This window comes from Homo sapiens, chromosome 1 (assembly GCF_000001405.40).
Source record: "Homo sapiens chromosome 1, GRCh38.p14 Primary Assembly".
In the NCBI taxonomy this organism is placed as follows: Eukaryota; Metazoa; Chordata; class Mammalia; order Primates; family Hominidae; genus Homo; species Homo sapiens.
The window spans coordinates 116,291,006-116,308,665 of NC_000001.11; the positions used below are offsets into that span (position 1 = coordinate 116,291,006).

At 40.7% G+C, this 17,660-nt stretch overlaps 1 long non-coding RNA gene across 3 annotated transcripts in view; it reads right to left on the reverse strand.

Annotated features, from left to right (window-relative positions):
* Window positions 1-17,660, reverse strand: part of LOC105378920 (uncharacterized) — a 58,385-nt gene that overhangs the window by 13,072 nt on the left and 27,653 nt on the right. For 2 of the 3 annotated variants that reach the window (XR_001738197.2, XR_947728.3), the window contains exon 4: window positions 3,399-3,486. This is a non-coding gene — a long non-coding RNA (uncharacterized LOC105378920). Of the gene's footprint in view, window positions 1-1,214; window positions 1,329-3,398; window positions 3,487-17,660 lie in introns of all 3 variants that reach the window. The other variant, XR_947729.3, reaches the window with a different exon arrangement.

Genomic DNA, 17,660 nt, shown 5'->3' on the forward strand with positions numbered 1-17,660 from the left:
CAGAGAAAAACACAGGGTTTTCTGTCTCTAAAGTTCCTACCTAGGTCACTCTCCTCTAACCTTCAATCCATAAACATCAGCTATCATCCAATAACCTGATTGCCACCTCCCACCAAGCACATTCCAAAACAGTGACAAAATTTGTGTGTCCCACTTGAAACTGAAACAGTTGCTACACCCTTGTAAAAGGCACAACACTTGATCCAAAGGCTTCCATAAACAACCGTAGACCCATTCCAGATCATATGAGGAAAAATCCTTGAAAAGTATGGGAGCTTGGCAGGTGGTGGGAACATAGAAGGAGCTTTGAGTGAGAAGGTCTGGAGTGGTTCCAGCTTCCATGCTCATGCATGAACTCATAATCCATCTTATTCTCCTTCCATGACCCTTTCCGGCCTCACACAGAACACATGCTTTTCTCTCAAGCAATTAAACTTAGAAGTATCTTATGCTATTACAGTGAACTAGCCAAACTCATGGGTGACCCTCTAATAAGTCCTGAGTTTCCTGCAATGCAATAACAAAGTAGATGGTATTTTTCCAGTAAAGAGAGACAAGGGAGACTTCGGGCAAGGATTGGCTCCTTCCCTCAACTCTATTCACTCTTGGTCACCTTTGGACCATCTCAATACAGGTAGGGCCATGGGCCTCATTATCCTTCAACAAGAAGGTGGCTTTTCCTCAGGAAGTGGAAGGCCCCTATGCAATTCTAATGGGTTTAGTTAACAACACTAATGGATGGAATCGCAAGGTTCTATTGAGGTTTCATTGTATTATTTTGCACAAAACCTCAAGAAATCAACAGAGTCTTTCTGTAGATAACACAGTCCAGGACTTCAGAACTGGTCTCTTCATCTTCCAGGGCCCTGGCTATCGCCAGGCTGCTATGGAATAACTATACCCATGAATCTGGATGTTTGGCTCTGCTTAGCTTAAGTAAAGTAATTTCTGATCCAAATCTGGTCAGCCTCCCCCATCACTGCCTCAGCCAAGACACTGGCCTCATTCTTCATGGAATGGAGCTCTTCCTCCCTGCCTTCCCTTGGTGTCCTCACCCTGGAGCCAACAAGGGCACACCCACCAGCAGCCCTCCTTGTGGAGCCCACCTCAGGCTCCCTACTGGCATTCTGGGCTATGGCCTGGAGCTTTTCTCTGTTCCAAAGGTCTCTCTCATCTTTCCTCCAATGATTTGATCTTTCCTATCCCATGCTCACCTCCAACACTTCTTCCAAGTCACTAGAGTGACCCTCTGCTCCTGCCTTCTGCCAAGCATCCTTCTTCCATTTTCCCACCATCTCCTGCAATACCTCCTCTTCCCTTAGGCTTTCCTGGGCAGATGAGAAGAGAGGTAGTATTTTCTCCCTCCTCTACCCTGGCTAATCTTTCAGTCTCGACTCCCAAAACACACCTGAACAAAAAGCCAAAACAGCAAAAATGACCAGTTGGTGGAGTGAGGAAGGAGACGATAAGATTGCTGGGAAGGGAGAGGAATGAATCTCTCCCGCTTCGTCCCCCACCAAGTAAGACTGAGGGGAACTGGGACAGAGAACTCAGTCAACCCTGGGAGGACAAGAAATAGATGTACAAGTATCTGGAATACTCTTAGCTTAAAACCCACACATTCATATGCACACATTATTCACCCAGTGAGTGAGAGGTCACTAAGGAATGCAGGTTTTCTTTTTGCCTGACTCCTGTTCCGCTTAGCCCTGACCTCTAATTTTCTTATTCTTTTCTCACTACTTTAAACTTATACTGCTTTATTTTTTTATTATCCAAATAGGCCACTGGAGTCCTTTCTGAAACTAGATGAGTCATTCATTTATTTATTTATTTACTTATTTATTTATTTTAGAGACAGGCTCTTGCTATGTTGCCCAGGTGAATCTCCAACTCCCAGCATCATGTTGATCCTCCCACCTCAGCCTTCCAAAGTGTTTCAATTACAGGCCTGAGCCACCATGTCTGGCCTAAGATGGATCTTACTCACAACTACTCACATATCTTGTTCTGCTCCCATCCACACAGATAAACACAAGTGACCCTCAAACAACCAAGAACACACATAAACAAGCAGCTGGAGGCCCACATCAGCGATCTGCAGTGATAAGAGCTGAATGAGGTGTGTGTCCACGAATAGACTGAAGTATTTGTTCAGGAAGCCCAAAGATAAACATATTGGTATACATAGGTCCATTTTGAACAGTGGATGAGAAGGCTCCTGGCCTGGGTTTTCCAGGAAAGAGAGTGAATGAGGGCAGAGGTGAGCGCGCACAGGAGAGACAAAAGTGGGTGGATGAGGGGGGATCTAGGAGGTATGAGAGATACTGTGTGGTGTGCAGAGACCCCAGGAGTGTGCTGCTTGGTTGATGTTATTATTCTGGTCTGTAGGTGTCTATCTGAATGTGCTTGCCTGTCTTAGGCTGTGAACCTCTAGAGGACAGGACTGGGCCCACATCCATTGCTGTCCCATGCTTCATCAGGCCCAAAGAGCCTATTGCGGGTGAGCAGCACTGTGCTTACAGGTTTGTTGACTGACTCAATGACTTGACTCCCAGCCTTGAGTGTCTGTAAGTGCCCAGTGAATTCCAGAGGAATATGATAAAATGCACTTTCTCCAGGGCTTTACTGAAACAGAGTTCTTTGCCAGGCTGGAATCATTTTGGTATTGTCCTACTAAAAAATAGAAGATGTGCTCCAAGAGCTGTCCACAGCCTCTTTAGTCTTAGAATTGCTGTGATGAGATTCCCAGAACTTAAAGATATAATCTATGTTTTCACTGGTTGTCTCCAAGTTTGTTTCCCTCAAAAGCAGAAAAGGTGTAAGCCTTATTCAAATTTGCATTTCCAGAGCTTAGACCCATATTAAACATCCTGTGTGCTTCAGAAATACTGACTGAGAGAATGCTGGAATGAATGAGCACAGGCCTGAAAAGTGAAGTCCAACCCAGCCTCCATTCCCAGCACTGCCTCCCTCAGTATTGTACCAGGCAAGAGCCAAGTGATTGACCAACATTGCAGAGCTCCCTACTCCTGGCTCCTGCAGGCATTTGAGTTTGCAGCCTCTTAGGAAAACACTAGTATAATTCCTATTTATAGAAGTCCTGTTTGATTTATAAGCCTGAGATTCAAAAAATGTCACTAATATTTTTGAAGTCACATTGCTAAGAGGTAAAGCCAACACTGGTCTTCTAGACCTCAAAGTTCATTTTAGTAACCACTCTTAATTCCTACACTCATACTAGCTGCATGACCATTGCTTCATTACTTGAGTGCTCAAGCCAAAGTTCCCTCATCTGTAAGATGAGAGTCATAAAAACTACTTAAAATATTTGTGAGATGTAGATTACATATATGAAACATAAGCAGATAAATAACTATACTTTTCAAGAGACTTACCCTTAAAATTTGAAGGAAACAGGCACATGAAGAGTCTTCTTACCTAAACCAACTTAGGCAAGAAGTTATATTCATATGGAACCTCCTCCTTGAAATAAAATAATGATCAACATTAGAGAAATGCAATTCAGTACCACAATGAGATACCATCTCACACCAGTCAGAATGGCTACTATCAAAAAGCCAAAAAACAAAAGATGCTGGTGAGGCTGCAGAGAAACGGGAATGCTTACACACTGTTGGTGGGAGTGTAAATTATTTTAGCCACTGTGGAAAGCAGTTTGGAGATTTCTCAAAGAGCTAAAAACGGAATTACCATTCAACCCACAACCCTATTACTAGGTATATACCCAAAAGAAAATAAATTGTTCTACCAAAAAGACACATATACTCATATGTTCATTGCAGCCATATTCACAATAGCCAAAACATGGAATCAACCAGGTGCCCATCAATGGTGGACTGGATTTAAAAATATGTGGTACATATGCACCATAGGAATACTATGCAGCCACAAAAACAATGAAGTCATATCCTTTACAGCAATATGGATGCAGCTGGAGACCATTATCCTAAGCGAATTAATGCAGGAATTGAAAATCAAATACTACATGCTCTTACTTACAAGTGGGAGCTAAACCTGCAGCACTCATGGACATAGAGATATCAACAATAGACACTACGGACTACTAAAAAGGGAGGGAGAGAGTGGGGCCAAGGGTTCATATACTAACTATTGGGCACTATGCTCAGTACCTGGGTGACGGGATCAATCGTTTCCCAAACCTCAGCATCACACATTGAGGTATTCCATTGTGTGACAAAACCACAACCTATTCCTCCATTCAACTATCAATAGGTATTTGGGTTGTCTCCAATTTATACTTACTATCAATAGTGCAACTACATCTTTTAATGAGTTTGTTATATGCATGTAACAAACCTGCACATGTACCCCAAATCTAAAATAAAAATTGACATTTTAAAAAATAAAAAAGTAACTAATTTAAAAAACGATCAAGTTTTCATCCACTTACCCTTTTATTCAGCGAATACATATCAAGGGCCTTCTGTGTGGCAGTTGGTACCCAGGGACTAAAAAGCCCAGTGGAAAAGTGGGCTTTGACTCAGGAGACTTAGATACATCCTCCCTCCCTCTTATCTTTACTAGCTGAGTGAATTTGAGCAAGTCCCTTAACTTCTACAACCCTCAATTTTCTCGTCTGTAAAATGGGAATGATAATACCTAATGCATACAGCTCTGAGGTGTAAGAAAGACTTATATACTGCCCAGGCATAGTGGCTCACACCTGTAATCCCAGCAGTTTGGGAGGCAGAGGCAGGTGATCTCCTGAGCCCAGGAGTTTGAGACCAGCCTGGGCAACATGGTGAATGAAACCCCTGTCTCCACAAAAAATGCACAACTTAGCTGGGCTTGGTGGCGGGAGCCTGTAGTCCCAGCTAGTCTGGAGGCTGAAGTGGAAGGATGTCTTGAACCCAGCGAGGTGGAGGCAAGGCTGTAGTGAACCATGATTGTGTCACTGCACTCCTGCCTGGGTGACAGAGATATCTTAGGAAAAATGAAACTTATGTACAAAAAGGACCAAGTTCAGTCTCTGATACAATGCACATACCTACAAATACCTACACCTATAATGACAGCTACTACTCCCGTCGTTGGCCTACTAAGGGCAGGGCAGTGGGAACAGCCAGTTCAGCTCAACAGTAGTCACAGCAGTTGTTTAGAACTTAGATTAGCAAATTATTTACTGGGGAGAGGGGTGTATTTTATCACTGATATTGTTAAGAATTGCCAGTGCATAGTAATAATTAAAAAGCAAACTCACTCTTAGTCCATTTTATTATTGTTTTAAATTCACTGCACACAGCCTGGCACGGTGGCTCATGCCTGTAACCCCAGCACTTCCAAAGGCTGAGGCGGGTGGATCACGAGGTCAGAAGTTCAAGACCAGCCTGGCCAACATAGTGAAACCCCGTCTCTACTAAAAATACAAAAAATTAGCCAGGTGAGGTGGCATGCGCCTGTAGTCCCAGCTACTCAGGAAGCTGAGGCAGGAGAATGGCTTAGAACCTGGGAGGCAGAGGTTGCAGTGAGCCAAGATCACGCCACTGCACTCCAGCCTGGGTTACAGAGCAAGACACTGTCTCAAAAAAAAAAAAAAAATTAGCCAGGCATGGTGGCGCGTGCCTGTAGTTCCAGCTACTCACGAGGCTGAGGCAGGAGAATCGCTTGAATCCAGGAGGTGGAGGTTGCAGTGAGCAGATATCACATCAGCTTAGACAACAAAATGACACTTCACCCAAAAAAAAAATTCCCACAGACAACGCACTCCTGGCTGTGCCTCGGACAGTCCACTTTCACCACCAGTCCTGGGTAAGCACTGGATTACATATTGGTGCCAAAAGGTGACAATCAGAATTATTTGGCACTGTTATAACCACACCTACATTAACACCTTTTGGATTCTACATATAAAATCAATACGCTTTGTTAGATAACAGCAAAAGTCTGAATTCAAAAAAATTAAAATAGAAAAAACATTTTATTAAAGTACGATGCACATTTTATAAAAGCACATATACAGTATAGCCTGCTGAAACTCCACACTTACGTGAACAGAACTCAAACGAACACGGCCAGCACCCAAAAGCCCCCTCATGCCAACTTCTGGTCACTACCACTTTCACCTGTTTTTGTAAATAAAATTTGTACAGCAAGCGCCCTATATGTCTGGCTTCTTTTGCTGAACATCATGTTTCTGAGATTCATCCATATTGTGTCCAGAATTGGTGGGTTCCTGGTCTCGCTGACTTCAAGAATGAAGCCGCTGACCCTCGTGGTGAGTGTTGCAGTTCTTAAAGATGGCGTGTCCGGAGTTTGTTCCTTCAGATACTCACATGTGTCCAGAGTTTCTTCCTTCTGGTGGGTTCGTGGTCTTGCTGATTTCAGGAGTGAAGCTGCAGACCTCTGCAGTGAGTGTTACAGCTCTTAAAGGCAGTACATCCAGAGTTGTTTGTTCTTTCCAGTGAGTTTGTGGTCTTGCTGGCTTCAGAGGTGAAGCTGCAGACCTTCACGGTGAGTGTTACAGCTCATAAGGGCAGCGCGGACCCAAAGAGCGAACAACAGCGAGATTTATTGCCAAGAATGAAAGAACAAGCTTCCACACCACGGAAAAAAATCTGAGTGGGTTGCCTGCACACTGCTCACTTGGGAAGCCTGCTTTTATTGCCTTATCTGGCCCCACCCACATCCTGCTGACTGGTCCATTTTACAGAAAGCTGATTGGTCCATTTTACAAAGGGCTGATTGGTCCATTTTGACAGGGTGCTGATTGGTGCATTTACAATCCTCTAGCTAGACACAAAGTGCTGATTGGTGCATTTACAATCCTCTAGCTAGACATAAAAGTTCTCCAGGTCCCCACCAGATTAGCTAGACACAGAGTGCTGATTGGTGCATGTAGAGTCTTCCAGCTAGACTTAAAAGTTCTCCAAGACCCCAGCTGACTCCGGAGCATAGCTGGCTTCACCTGGTGGATCCCATGCCAGGGCCATGCCAGGGTCAGTGGGACTGGGTGCCCGGAGCAGGGGGTGGGGCCGGTCGGGGAGGCTGGGGCTGCGTGGGAACTTGGGGGAGAAGGGGGAGCGCTTGGGCATGGCAGAGCACTTGGGTATGGCGGGCTGCAGGTCCCGAGCCGTGCCCTTTAGGGAGGCGGCTGAGGCCCAGCGAGAATTCAAGAACTGTGCAGGTAGGCCAGTAGTGCTGGGAGACCTGGCGCACCCTCTGCAGCTGCTGGCCTGGGTGCTAAGCCCCTCATTGCCTGGGGCCAGTGGCATGGGCTGGCCTCTCCGAGTGCGGGGCCTACCAAGCCTGCACCCACCCACCCGGAACTTGCTCTGGCCCGCGAGCGCTGTGCGCAGCCCCGGTTCCTGCCAGTGCCTCTCCCTCCACACCTCCCCACAAGCAGAGGGAGCCAGCTCCAGCCTCGGCCAGCCCAGAGAGGGGCTCCCACAGTGCAGCGGCGGGCTGAAGGGCTCCTCAAGCGCTGCCAGAGTGGACACCGAGGCCAAGGAGGCACAGAGAGTGAGCGAGGGCTGCTAGCACGTTGTCACCTCTCAATATCTTTGTGTGTGGTTGTAGATGGTTCATTTTTACTATTGTATAGTATTCTATTGTGTGAAGAGACCACAATCTATTCCTCCATTCAACTATCAATAGGTATTTGGTTTTTCTCCAGCTTATAGTTATTACCCATAGTGCAACTACAAGTCTTGTCTTTTGATGAGTATATGTCCAGGTTTCTGTGGGGCCTATACTTAGGAGTGACTTTGCTGGGTTACAGGGAATGCACATGTTCAGCCGTGGTGCATACTGCCCAACAGATTTCCAAAGTGGTTTTCAAAGGACTTATGTTAAGGATTGCACTACCACTTCTAAACTTCAAAGTCTTTTACACTGAGTGAAGTAACAGGCTCCTGGAGATAGGCAAGAAATGGATGTTTCTGGTTAATGAACCGTGAGGCAGAAAACTTTCTAGCGTTTCAGCAGTCACTTGAGCTGAGCACTCCAGGAACCTTCCTGGAAGAACACAGGACTTGATATCCCAAAACTCTGCTTCAGATCAAATACCAAAAGACTTTCCCCACAAGAGGGTCCTAGCCACCGTCAATGATTAAATTTAAAAACCAAAGAGAACAAGAGAAAGCAAAGAAAGAAAGAGAAAGGATTCAAGGAAGGGAAAGAAAGAAACCCAGGCTCCAAAGAAAAGTTATGAAATTCAGAGCCAACACTTGAAAGAAATCTGTAAGCCACAAAAAGTGGAAAGATCAGCCAAGTCCTTCCCTTTATTTTTTTAATTTGTATTATTATTATTATTTTTTGTAACCAACCATTCCTTGAAAACCAAACTCCTCAAAGAACCATCCTGAGAAGAACAATAGGAACACTTTAGACGGGACCAGCCCTTCTTGTCTCCTTACCTTACTCAACTCCTCCTCCTCTGTTCTGTCTCACTTGTCAAGGACTTCACTTCACTGCCAAGAACACAGTTCTCTGTCCTGAGATTCATATTAATCTGTGCCACTGCCAGTTAGCCTGCCAAGGCTGCACCTGAAACTCCACACTTTAAACCACTCCTCCTTGCTGAAACACAGCTTTCATTCCCCTCATCAATCCTCATCTCCTACAGCCAACCACACTCAAGACCTATGGCTTCTACTTACACTGTCCCTGATTCCTTCCACTGTTGACTTTCACCCAGGTGCCTGTGACAAGGCCCCTATGTCTGTCTCCCTGCCTCCAGGCTGACTTTCCCCAGACCTGCCTTCACCCACATCCCTAGAGATCTTTCTAAACTGTGCATCTGAGTATGTCATCCCTCTATTTAAACCCTTGCAAATCTTTCCATGGCCTCGGATTGGAATCAATCAAAACTCCTTAACATGCTCAACAAGGCCGTTTGAGACCCAGCCCCTTCCTTTCTCTCAGCTTCATTTCTCAAACTCCTCTCCTTGTGCTCAATGATCCAGCCATGAAGAACTTCCTTCCTTTGCTGAATAAACTATGTGCTCTCTCTCCCCTTTATTTAGCTTTATATATATATATATATAAATTGTCTAGTATATGAATTATATTCCAATAATACTGTTGTATTCTGTTATATATATAACAGTACATATATAACATATACTACTATAACATAATACTATTTTTATATATAATATATAATATGTATTTTATATATAGTATACAAATATACATACACTATATATAATATATATTATACATATATGGAGACCATTTAATATATTACATTTTATATGTGTGTGTGTGTGTGTGTGTATATATATATATATATATATATATATATATATATATATATATATAAAATGGAGGCCACCACATCTTTTTTTTTTTTTTGAGACAGAGTTTCACTCTGTCATCCAGGCCAGAGTACAGTCGCGCGATCTCAGCTCACTGTAACCTGCACCTCCCAGGCTCAAACAATTCTTCTTCCTCAGCCTCCCAAGTAGCTGGAATTATAGGTGCCCACCACCACACCCAACTAATTTTTGGACTTTTAGTAGAGACGGGGGTTTCATCATGTTAGCCTGGCTTGTCTCAAACTCCTGCCCTCAGGTGATCCGCCTGCCTCAGCCTCCCAAAGTCTGGGTACAGGCATGAGCCATCGCACCTGGCCTCTATTAAATAATTCTTAATTGAGGCTGTAGATTAAGAGATGGGAAACATATAGACTCTACTCAGTTTATTATATATATAAAATACATATTATATGTAATGAATTACATATATTTTATATAAGATATATATAAAACCGTATTTTTGGAATATAATTCACACACTAGACAATTCACCTATTTAGTGTACAATTCAAAGGTTTATGTTATATTCATAGAATTGTGCAACCATCACCACAACCAATTTTAGAAGTCTCATCACCCCTAATAAAAACTCAGTACCCATATCAGTCACTCTCTATTTCTTCCCAACCTCCTCAGCCCTAGGCAACTAGTAAACTATTTACTGTCTCTATAGATTTGCCTGTTCTGGACATTTCACATAAATGGAACCATATGATATGCAGCCTTTTCTTGATTGACTTCTTGCACTTAGCATAATGTTTTCAGCATCTATCAGTAATTCATTCCTTTTTATTACCAAACAATACACCATTGTATCAATATACAACATTTTACTTATTTATTTATAAGTTGATCAACACTTGGATTGTTTTCACTTTTTGGAAAAATGTTTAGAAGCTCTCCATTAGATAATTCTTGTTTTTTGTTTTGTTTTGTTTTTTGTTTTTTGTGTTTTTTTTAGAAACATAGTTTCACTTTGTTGCCCAGGCTGGAGTGCAGTGATGTGATCATAGCTCACTGCAGCCTTGAACTCCTGGTCTCAAGCAATCCTCCCATCTTGGCCTCCCAAACTGCTATGGTTACAGGTGTGAGTCACCATATCTAGCCTCCATTAAATACTTCTTAATTGAGGGTGCAGATTAGGAGGTGGGAAAGATACAGACTCTACTCAGCTTGAAAGACAAATAAACAGATGGTTTAAATATTATGGCCAGGCGCGGTGGCTCATGCCTCTGATCCCAACACTCTGGGAGGCCAAGGTAGGTGGATTGCTTGAGTCCAGGAGTTTGAGACCAGCCTGGGCAAGTAGCAAAACCCTGTCTCTACTAAACATACAAAGAAAAAAAAAAGAAAAAAAAAAAAAAAAGCCGGATATGGTAGTGCATGCCTGTAATCCCAGCTACTCGGGAGGCTGAGGTGGGAGAATCACCTGAGCCAGGGAGGTCGAGTCTGCCATGAACCAAGATTAAGCCACTGCACTCCAGCCTGGGCAACCAGAGTGAGACTCTGTCTCAAAAAATTAATAAATAAATAAAATGGTAAATATATTAACAGAGGTCTAGATAAGATACTATGGGAGAACAAAGGAAAGAAGAACTAATTCCCCCTGGAGGATTCAGAGAAGGCATTTGATAGGAGTCTTGAAAGATGAATAAGGTTGGAGAGACCTTTGTTAATCTGGTTCAACCCTTCATTCAGCCCTTGGCCAGCTCTACAGCATCCCATCACATGCAAGTCCTGCTCTGCCTGAAACACCTGAAAGCGAGGCATGCATCCAGAGGTTGGCTGGGTTGGGGGTGGAGGCAAGAGGAGGAGAGAGATGTGACAGGTGAAGGTACTTGGGAATGGGCAGTCCAGTTTAGTTATGGGGCCCATGCAAGGCAACATGAAAGGGTTGGGGTCACACAGAATAAAAGAAAGACCCTGGACTTGGGAATCAGTCAGGCTTGGACTCAAATAGACAACTAATAATGTGTGTGACTTTACACAAATTATTTAATCTCTCTGAGCCTCTGTTTTGTCACATGTAAATATGAATTAATAGCTCTATTTCAGAGTTGTGAAGATCAAGGGACAGAGCATATGGAAAAGTACTTGGCACAAAGTAGGCAATTGATAACTGTCAAATCCTCTTCCTTCCAGTTTGCCAAAGCCAGCCCTGCCACCCTCTTTCCTAAGCTGAGACTCTGACCTTGATCACTCATTGTCCAGGCCCAGTAATAACAGCTAGATTTATTAACTTCTTACTGCATTCTGCACCCTGGGCTAAGTATCGTCTTTTTTCATCCTCACAAAAATCCAATGAAGTTGGAAATCTTTGTTTTATAGATAAGGAAACTGAGGCTCACAGATGTTAAATAATGAAATTTGCTCAAGGTCTTAAAGCTAGAAAGTCGTGGAACTGGAATTTAAACCCAGGCTGACATTAAAATCTATGCTACCCATTGTGTTCCTTCTAGAAAGGCAGTCAGGAATCATTCTGTTGAGTAAATCTTTAATCCATGATCCACATGTATCAACGTTTGATCAAAGCTCAAGAATGCCTTGCTTTCATAAACAATGCTTTTAAACACCAAAAATAAATAAACAAAAAAAAGCAAAGCAGTGGGTTGAATAAGTGAAAATCCTCAAAAGAAAGATAATCTAAATAAACACTTAAAATAATAACAGCCATCTCTCAGGCGCTAGAGAGTATCACCATTTTTCCCAGGCAGCTCAGGGCAACAATAGTAAAACTTGAGATCCAGCAGTTCTTCCTTAGGGTTTTGTGATTAAAGAGGCCTGGGATGATGGTTATATCTCCCCTCATAATCCTTAAACCCTGGCATCAAGCTATGGAAATCCTGATCATGAAGACTAATATTTGTGAAGTGCTTACAGTTTAGTAAGGATTAATTAGTAAGTAGATTGCTCACAGGGTATCTGCTGTCACTTACAACCCTGAAAGGTGCATAGGGCCAGGGTCATTTTTATTCTCAGAACAGAAACCTGAAGTTCAGAGAAACAAGGTGACTTGCCAAAGCTCAAGGAGAGAATCACAATGTAAACTCCATCCTCTGATCCCTTTTCCACCTCCACCGGCATCTTCATCCACAGTCCAAATTAGAAAGAACTCAGATTTGGACTCCTTGGAAGCAAACTTCTAGACTCCTGGGAACTGTATAGATTATGGCAACAAAGATAGAGGATGGGCTGGAAGAAGACAAAAGTAACACTGCTGATAAGTGCAAAAACACCTAGCGTTAAAAAAAAAAATGGCTTTATTGAGATAAAATTCACATACAGTAAAATTCACCCTTTTAAATGGTACAATTTGGTGTCTTTTCATATATTCACAAAGTTTTACAACCATCACACTGTCTAATTCCATAACATTTCTATCACCACAGAAAGAAATCACAGTCATTGCAGTAATTACCCACTGCAGCCCTAGCACCCACTAATCTACTCTGTTTCTATGGATTTGCCTATTCTAGACATTTCATATGAATACATTCAATAAGTGTCTTTGGTGTCTGGCTTCTTTCACTTACATCATACTGTTTTCAAGGTTGATTAACATTGTAGTATGTATCAGTACTTCGTTTTCCTTATAGCCAAATAATATTCTATTGTGTGGATGTGTCATATTTTATTTATCTGTATATCAGTTAATGGAAAATCAGGCTCTTTCTACATTTTGGCTATTATAAATAATGCTGCTATGAGCATTCAGGTACATTTTTTGTATGAACACATGCTTTCATTTCCCTTTGCTATATGCCCAGAAGTGGAATTGCTGGGTCATACAGTAATTCTATGATTAGCTTTTTGAGGAACTGCCAGAAAGAAGAGTTCTTTATTCTACATATCCCTTTATTCTTTACTATTCTATCTGTTCTATTTTCAAAGTGATTGTACTATATAACATCCGCACCAGTAATATGTGGGTTCCCATTTCTTCACATCTTTCCAACACTAATTATAGCTATCCTATGGGTATGAAGCAGTATTCCATTGTGGTTTTGATTTACATTTCTCTGGTAGTGAATGATATTGAGTATCTTTTCATGTGCTTATTGCCTTTTGCATATCTTCTTTGAAGAAATGTCTGTTTGTATCCTTTGCTCATTTAATTAGATTGTCTTTTCATTGTTGAGTTGTAAGAGTTCTTTATATATTCTAGAACTAAGTCCCTTATCAAAGATATAATTTGCAAATTTAGTGAGTGAACTTTTTACTTTTTTAAAAGTGTTCTTTTAAGCACCAACATTTTTAACTTATTTACTTATTTTTCTTTTGTTGCTTGTACTTTTGATTTCATATCTAAAAACAAATCACCTAATTTAAGATCACAAAGATTACAAATATGTTTCCTTCTAAGAGTTTTATACTTTTAGCTCTAACATTAGGTATATGATCCATTTTTAATCAACTTTTATATGGTGTGAGGTAGGGACCCAACTTTATTCTTTTGTGTGTGAATATCCAGTTGTCCCAGCATATTTGTTAAAAAGAATATTATTTCCCCCACTGAACTGGCTTTTCAGCCAGGCCAAAAATCAATTGACCATAAATGTAAGGGACTTTTTTTTGGACTGTGAATTCTATTCCATTAATCTATGTGTCTATGCTTATTTTAGTACCATACTGTCTTCATTACTATAGCTTTGTAGTACGTTTTGAAATCAGGACATATGAGTCCTACAACTTTGTTCTTATTTCTCAAGATTGCATTGACTATTCTGGGTCTCTTGAACTTCCATATGAAGTTGAGGAATTCGCTTGTCTATATATGTTTTTTTTAAAAAAAAAAACAAAAAACAGGCAGCTGGGACTTTGAGTGAGATTGCACTGAACCTGAAGATCAATTTTGGGAATATTACTATCTTAATATTAGCCTTCTAATCCATGAGCACAGTACATCTTTCCATTCATTTAAAACTTCTATTACTTTTTTCAATGATGTTTTGCATTTCTCAGTGTACAAGTAGTGCATTAATTTTATTAAATTTAGTCCTAAATATTTTATTCTTTTTGATTCTATTGTGCATGGAATTACTTTCTTAATTTCATTTTTGGATTGTTCATTGCTAGTGTATAAAAATACAATTGATTTTGGTATATTGATCTTGTATCCTGAAACATTTCTGAACTTGTTTATTAGTTCTAATAATTTTTAGTGGGATTCCTTAGGATTTCTTTTTATACAAGATCATGTCATCTGCAAATAAAGACAGTTTTACTACTTTCTTTTCTGTCTGCTTTCTCTCTCTTTTGGGTACTGTTTGCATGTTATATTTTTTCCTACCTTTCTATTTTCAACCTATGTGTGTCTTTGAATCTAAAGTGTGTCTCCTCTAGACAGCATATAATTGAATTAAGGATTTTTAAAATCCATTTTGCCAACTTCTGCTTTTTTCTTGAAGTTTAGTTCATTTACATTTAAGTAATTACTGACAAGGTAGAATTTAATTTGTGCTTTTGCTGTTTATTTTTCCATATACCTTGCGTATTTTTTTGTTCCTTTATTCCTTCATTACTGATTCTCTGTTTTCTTTTGTGTTAAATAGATATTTTCTAGCACAAAATATTTCTTTGCTGCTGCCGCTATATATATATATACGTATATATATATATAGAGAGAGAGAGAGAGAGAGAGAGAGAGCAAGGAGATATATATGTATATTTAGAGAGAGAGAGTTATTTTCTTTGTGGTTGGCCTGGAAATAACAAGATCTTAACTTACAGTTTGGATTAACAGCCTGCCTTTTTATAGCACATTCTCATTTACATTTTTCATTTAATTGCCAGGAAGGAGAAAGTAAGAAATCTGCACTAGAAACTCTATCTTGGCCTGTTTGGAACAATGTTATTCATATACAATGTTCTTCTGGGGGCAAACTGTAGCCACGTGAGAGAGATTCCTTTTTGATTCCCAGGGTATAGGTTTTCAGGGTGATCAAAACACCATTTTGTGAACTTTCTAGCTTCCAACGTGAATTCACATACATCAGCAATTCTCAAACTGTGGTCTGGGAATATCTGAGCATCACTGAGATGTTTTCAGGTGATCCTTAAGAATAAAACCATTTTTATAAGAATACCAAGTTGTTATTTGCCCTTTGTGGCTTTTATTCTCTCATAAGAGTACAATAGGATTTTCTAGAGGTTACATGACATGTGATATCATAACAGAGTGAATGCAGATGCAGGTAGGAGAAAGTGCTGTTTCTAATAAGCCAGGCATTCCAGAAATTTACAAAACTATAAAACAATGCCACTCTTTTCTCTAAGTTGTTTTTGAGAATATAGTGATACTTCATGAAATATTTATGTTAACATAGAATGGTTTATTATTGCTAATTTTAAATGAGTTGACTTTTTAAAATTTCTTATTTTAATTTATAATATGGAAAATCTTGACAGATATATGCAAACCAAAGCTTGTTTGTGTTATTGATAAGTTAAGAGTATAAAGTAGTCCTGAAGCCAAAAATTTTATGAGCTGCTACCATATTATCTCATTCAACCCTTACAAGAGCATTGTGTGAAAAGCAGGACAGATTTAGTCTTCTGATGCTATGGCTTCTTGAATGAGGAAAGTGAGGCCGTGGGCCTGAGACTGTCTACGTGGACTGGGTTTGCTAGAATGGCAATCTATTATTCTGAGGCCAGAGCCCAGCCAGTTAACTGCGTTGATACTTCCTGGGAGCTATGACCTCTTAGTGACCTTTGATCCTGTTTACCTCTTCCATGTTCTGCATACTGTCTGCACTTTGGCTTCCATGACGCCATGACACCATGTTCTCATTTTTGCAAATGGTTCCTCTTCTTTTTCCTGCCCCTTAAATATTGCTATTACTCAAGGTCTTCTACCCAACCATCCTTTGGTCTTACTCCCTTAGTGAGCTCACTCATCATTATATATGATGATTCCCAAATGTGCCTCTCCAGCTCAGATCTCTCTCTCACTTGAATTTCAAAGCTGAGTACTAGATGTGTCTACCCGGATATCCCTCAGATGTTTTAAATCCACATGCTCAAAACTCTAATCAGTAGGCATTCCATACACTGTACTAGGTACAGGTAATGTAAAAGTGAATAAAACACAGTCCCTGTTCTCAGGGAAACAGCAATCTGATGGAGAACATTAGTTTGTCCAAAACCAACTTCTGTATTTTTGGTTCTAGATATTATTATCACCATCTGCCCAATTACACAGGACTCCTTTCCCATCCTTCCATCTAGTCAGTTGCCAAGTCTTATGCGTTCTATTTCTGTAACATCTCTCCAGCCTTCTCTTCTCTTCTCTCACTACTGCAGCTCCCTCAGATCCAACTTTCTTAATCTCTCTGGTGAACTATTGCAGCAACCTCCTAACCATGCTCTCTGCCTTCTGTCTCATCCCCATCTAATTCATCCTTCACACTGCTACCTGAGTGATCATTTTATAACTGCAAATCTGCCCACCTTACTATCATGCTTAAAACTCTTCAATGGCTCCCGTTCTTCTGGAGAATAAAACCCAGCCTCACTAGCTTGCCTTTTAAGGTTCTCTAGGATCTGATCTCAGCTTCATTTCCTATCAGTCCTCTGAGTGTTATCTCGACCTTTCAAAAGATATTTCTGATGTCAAGAATGCCCTCCCCAATCACCTGATCATCCTTCCCAGCTCTTCTTAAGTGTCTTCTCCTCTTAAATTTCCTATGATCTTCCCAAGAGGTCTAGATTATTCCTCTTTTTGGCCTACCACTATATCTTGCACGAGTCTCTTTTCATTATGGTACTTAGCACATTATATTAAATTATAATCTTTTGTTTTTCTAAATATCTCCCCCTCTGGACAGAACACTTCAATGGCAGGTACTCTGTCTTATTCATGTTGGTATCAACTGCCCTAGCCCAGTGCATGATGAAGAGTGAGCACTAAATAAATATTATCAATGTAATATTGAAGGTCTATAAAATATGGATCACATTCAACCTTCCCCCCTTTTTATGATTTTAGAATTCTCTTCCCATTTTCCATCTAAGCACCCAAGCTGAAAACATGGGTAATTCTATTAATAAAGTTTATACTCTTCCTCTTCCCCTATAGTCAATGAGTTACCCAACCAAACATTCTGCTTCTTTATTCTCTCTCCAGTGTCAACTACCCTCCATCACCACATTTAGGAAATACAGCAGCCATGTTTTCAACCTCAAAAATTGAGACATAAAATTTTTGTGTCACTTCCACATATGAGATATTCTGAGAAGCAGACAAAAGTTCAAAAACATTGGAATTCTTGAAATATTTCAACAATTTCCAGGGACAGTACTAGAGAATATTTGAAATCATAATGCCACTAAGAATTCAGGTTAGGAGGTCATTTA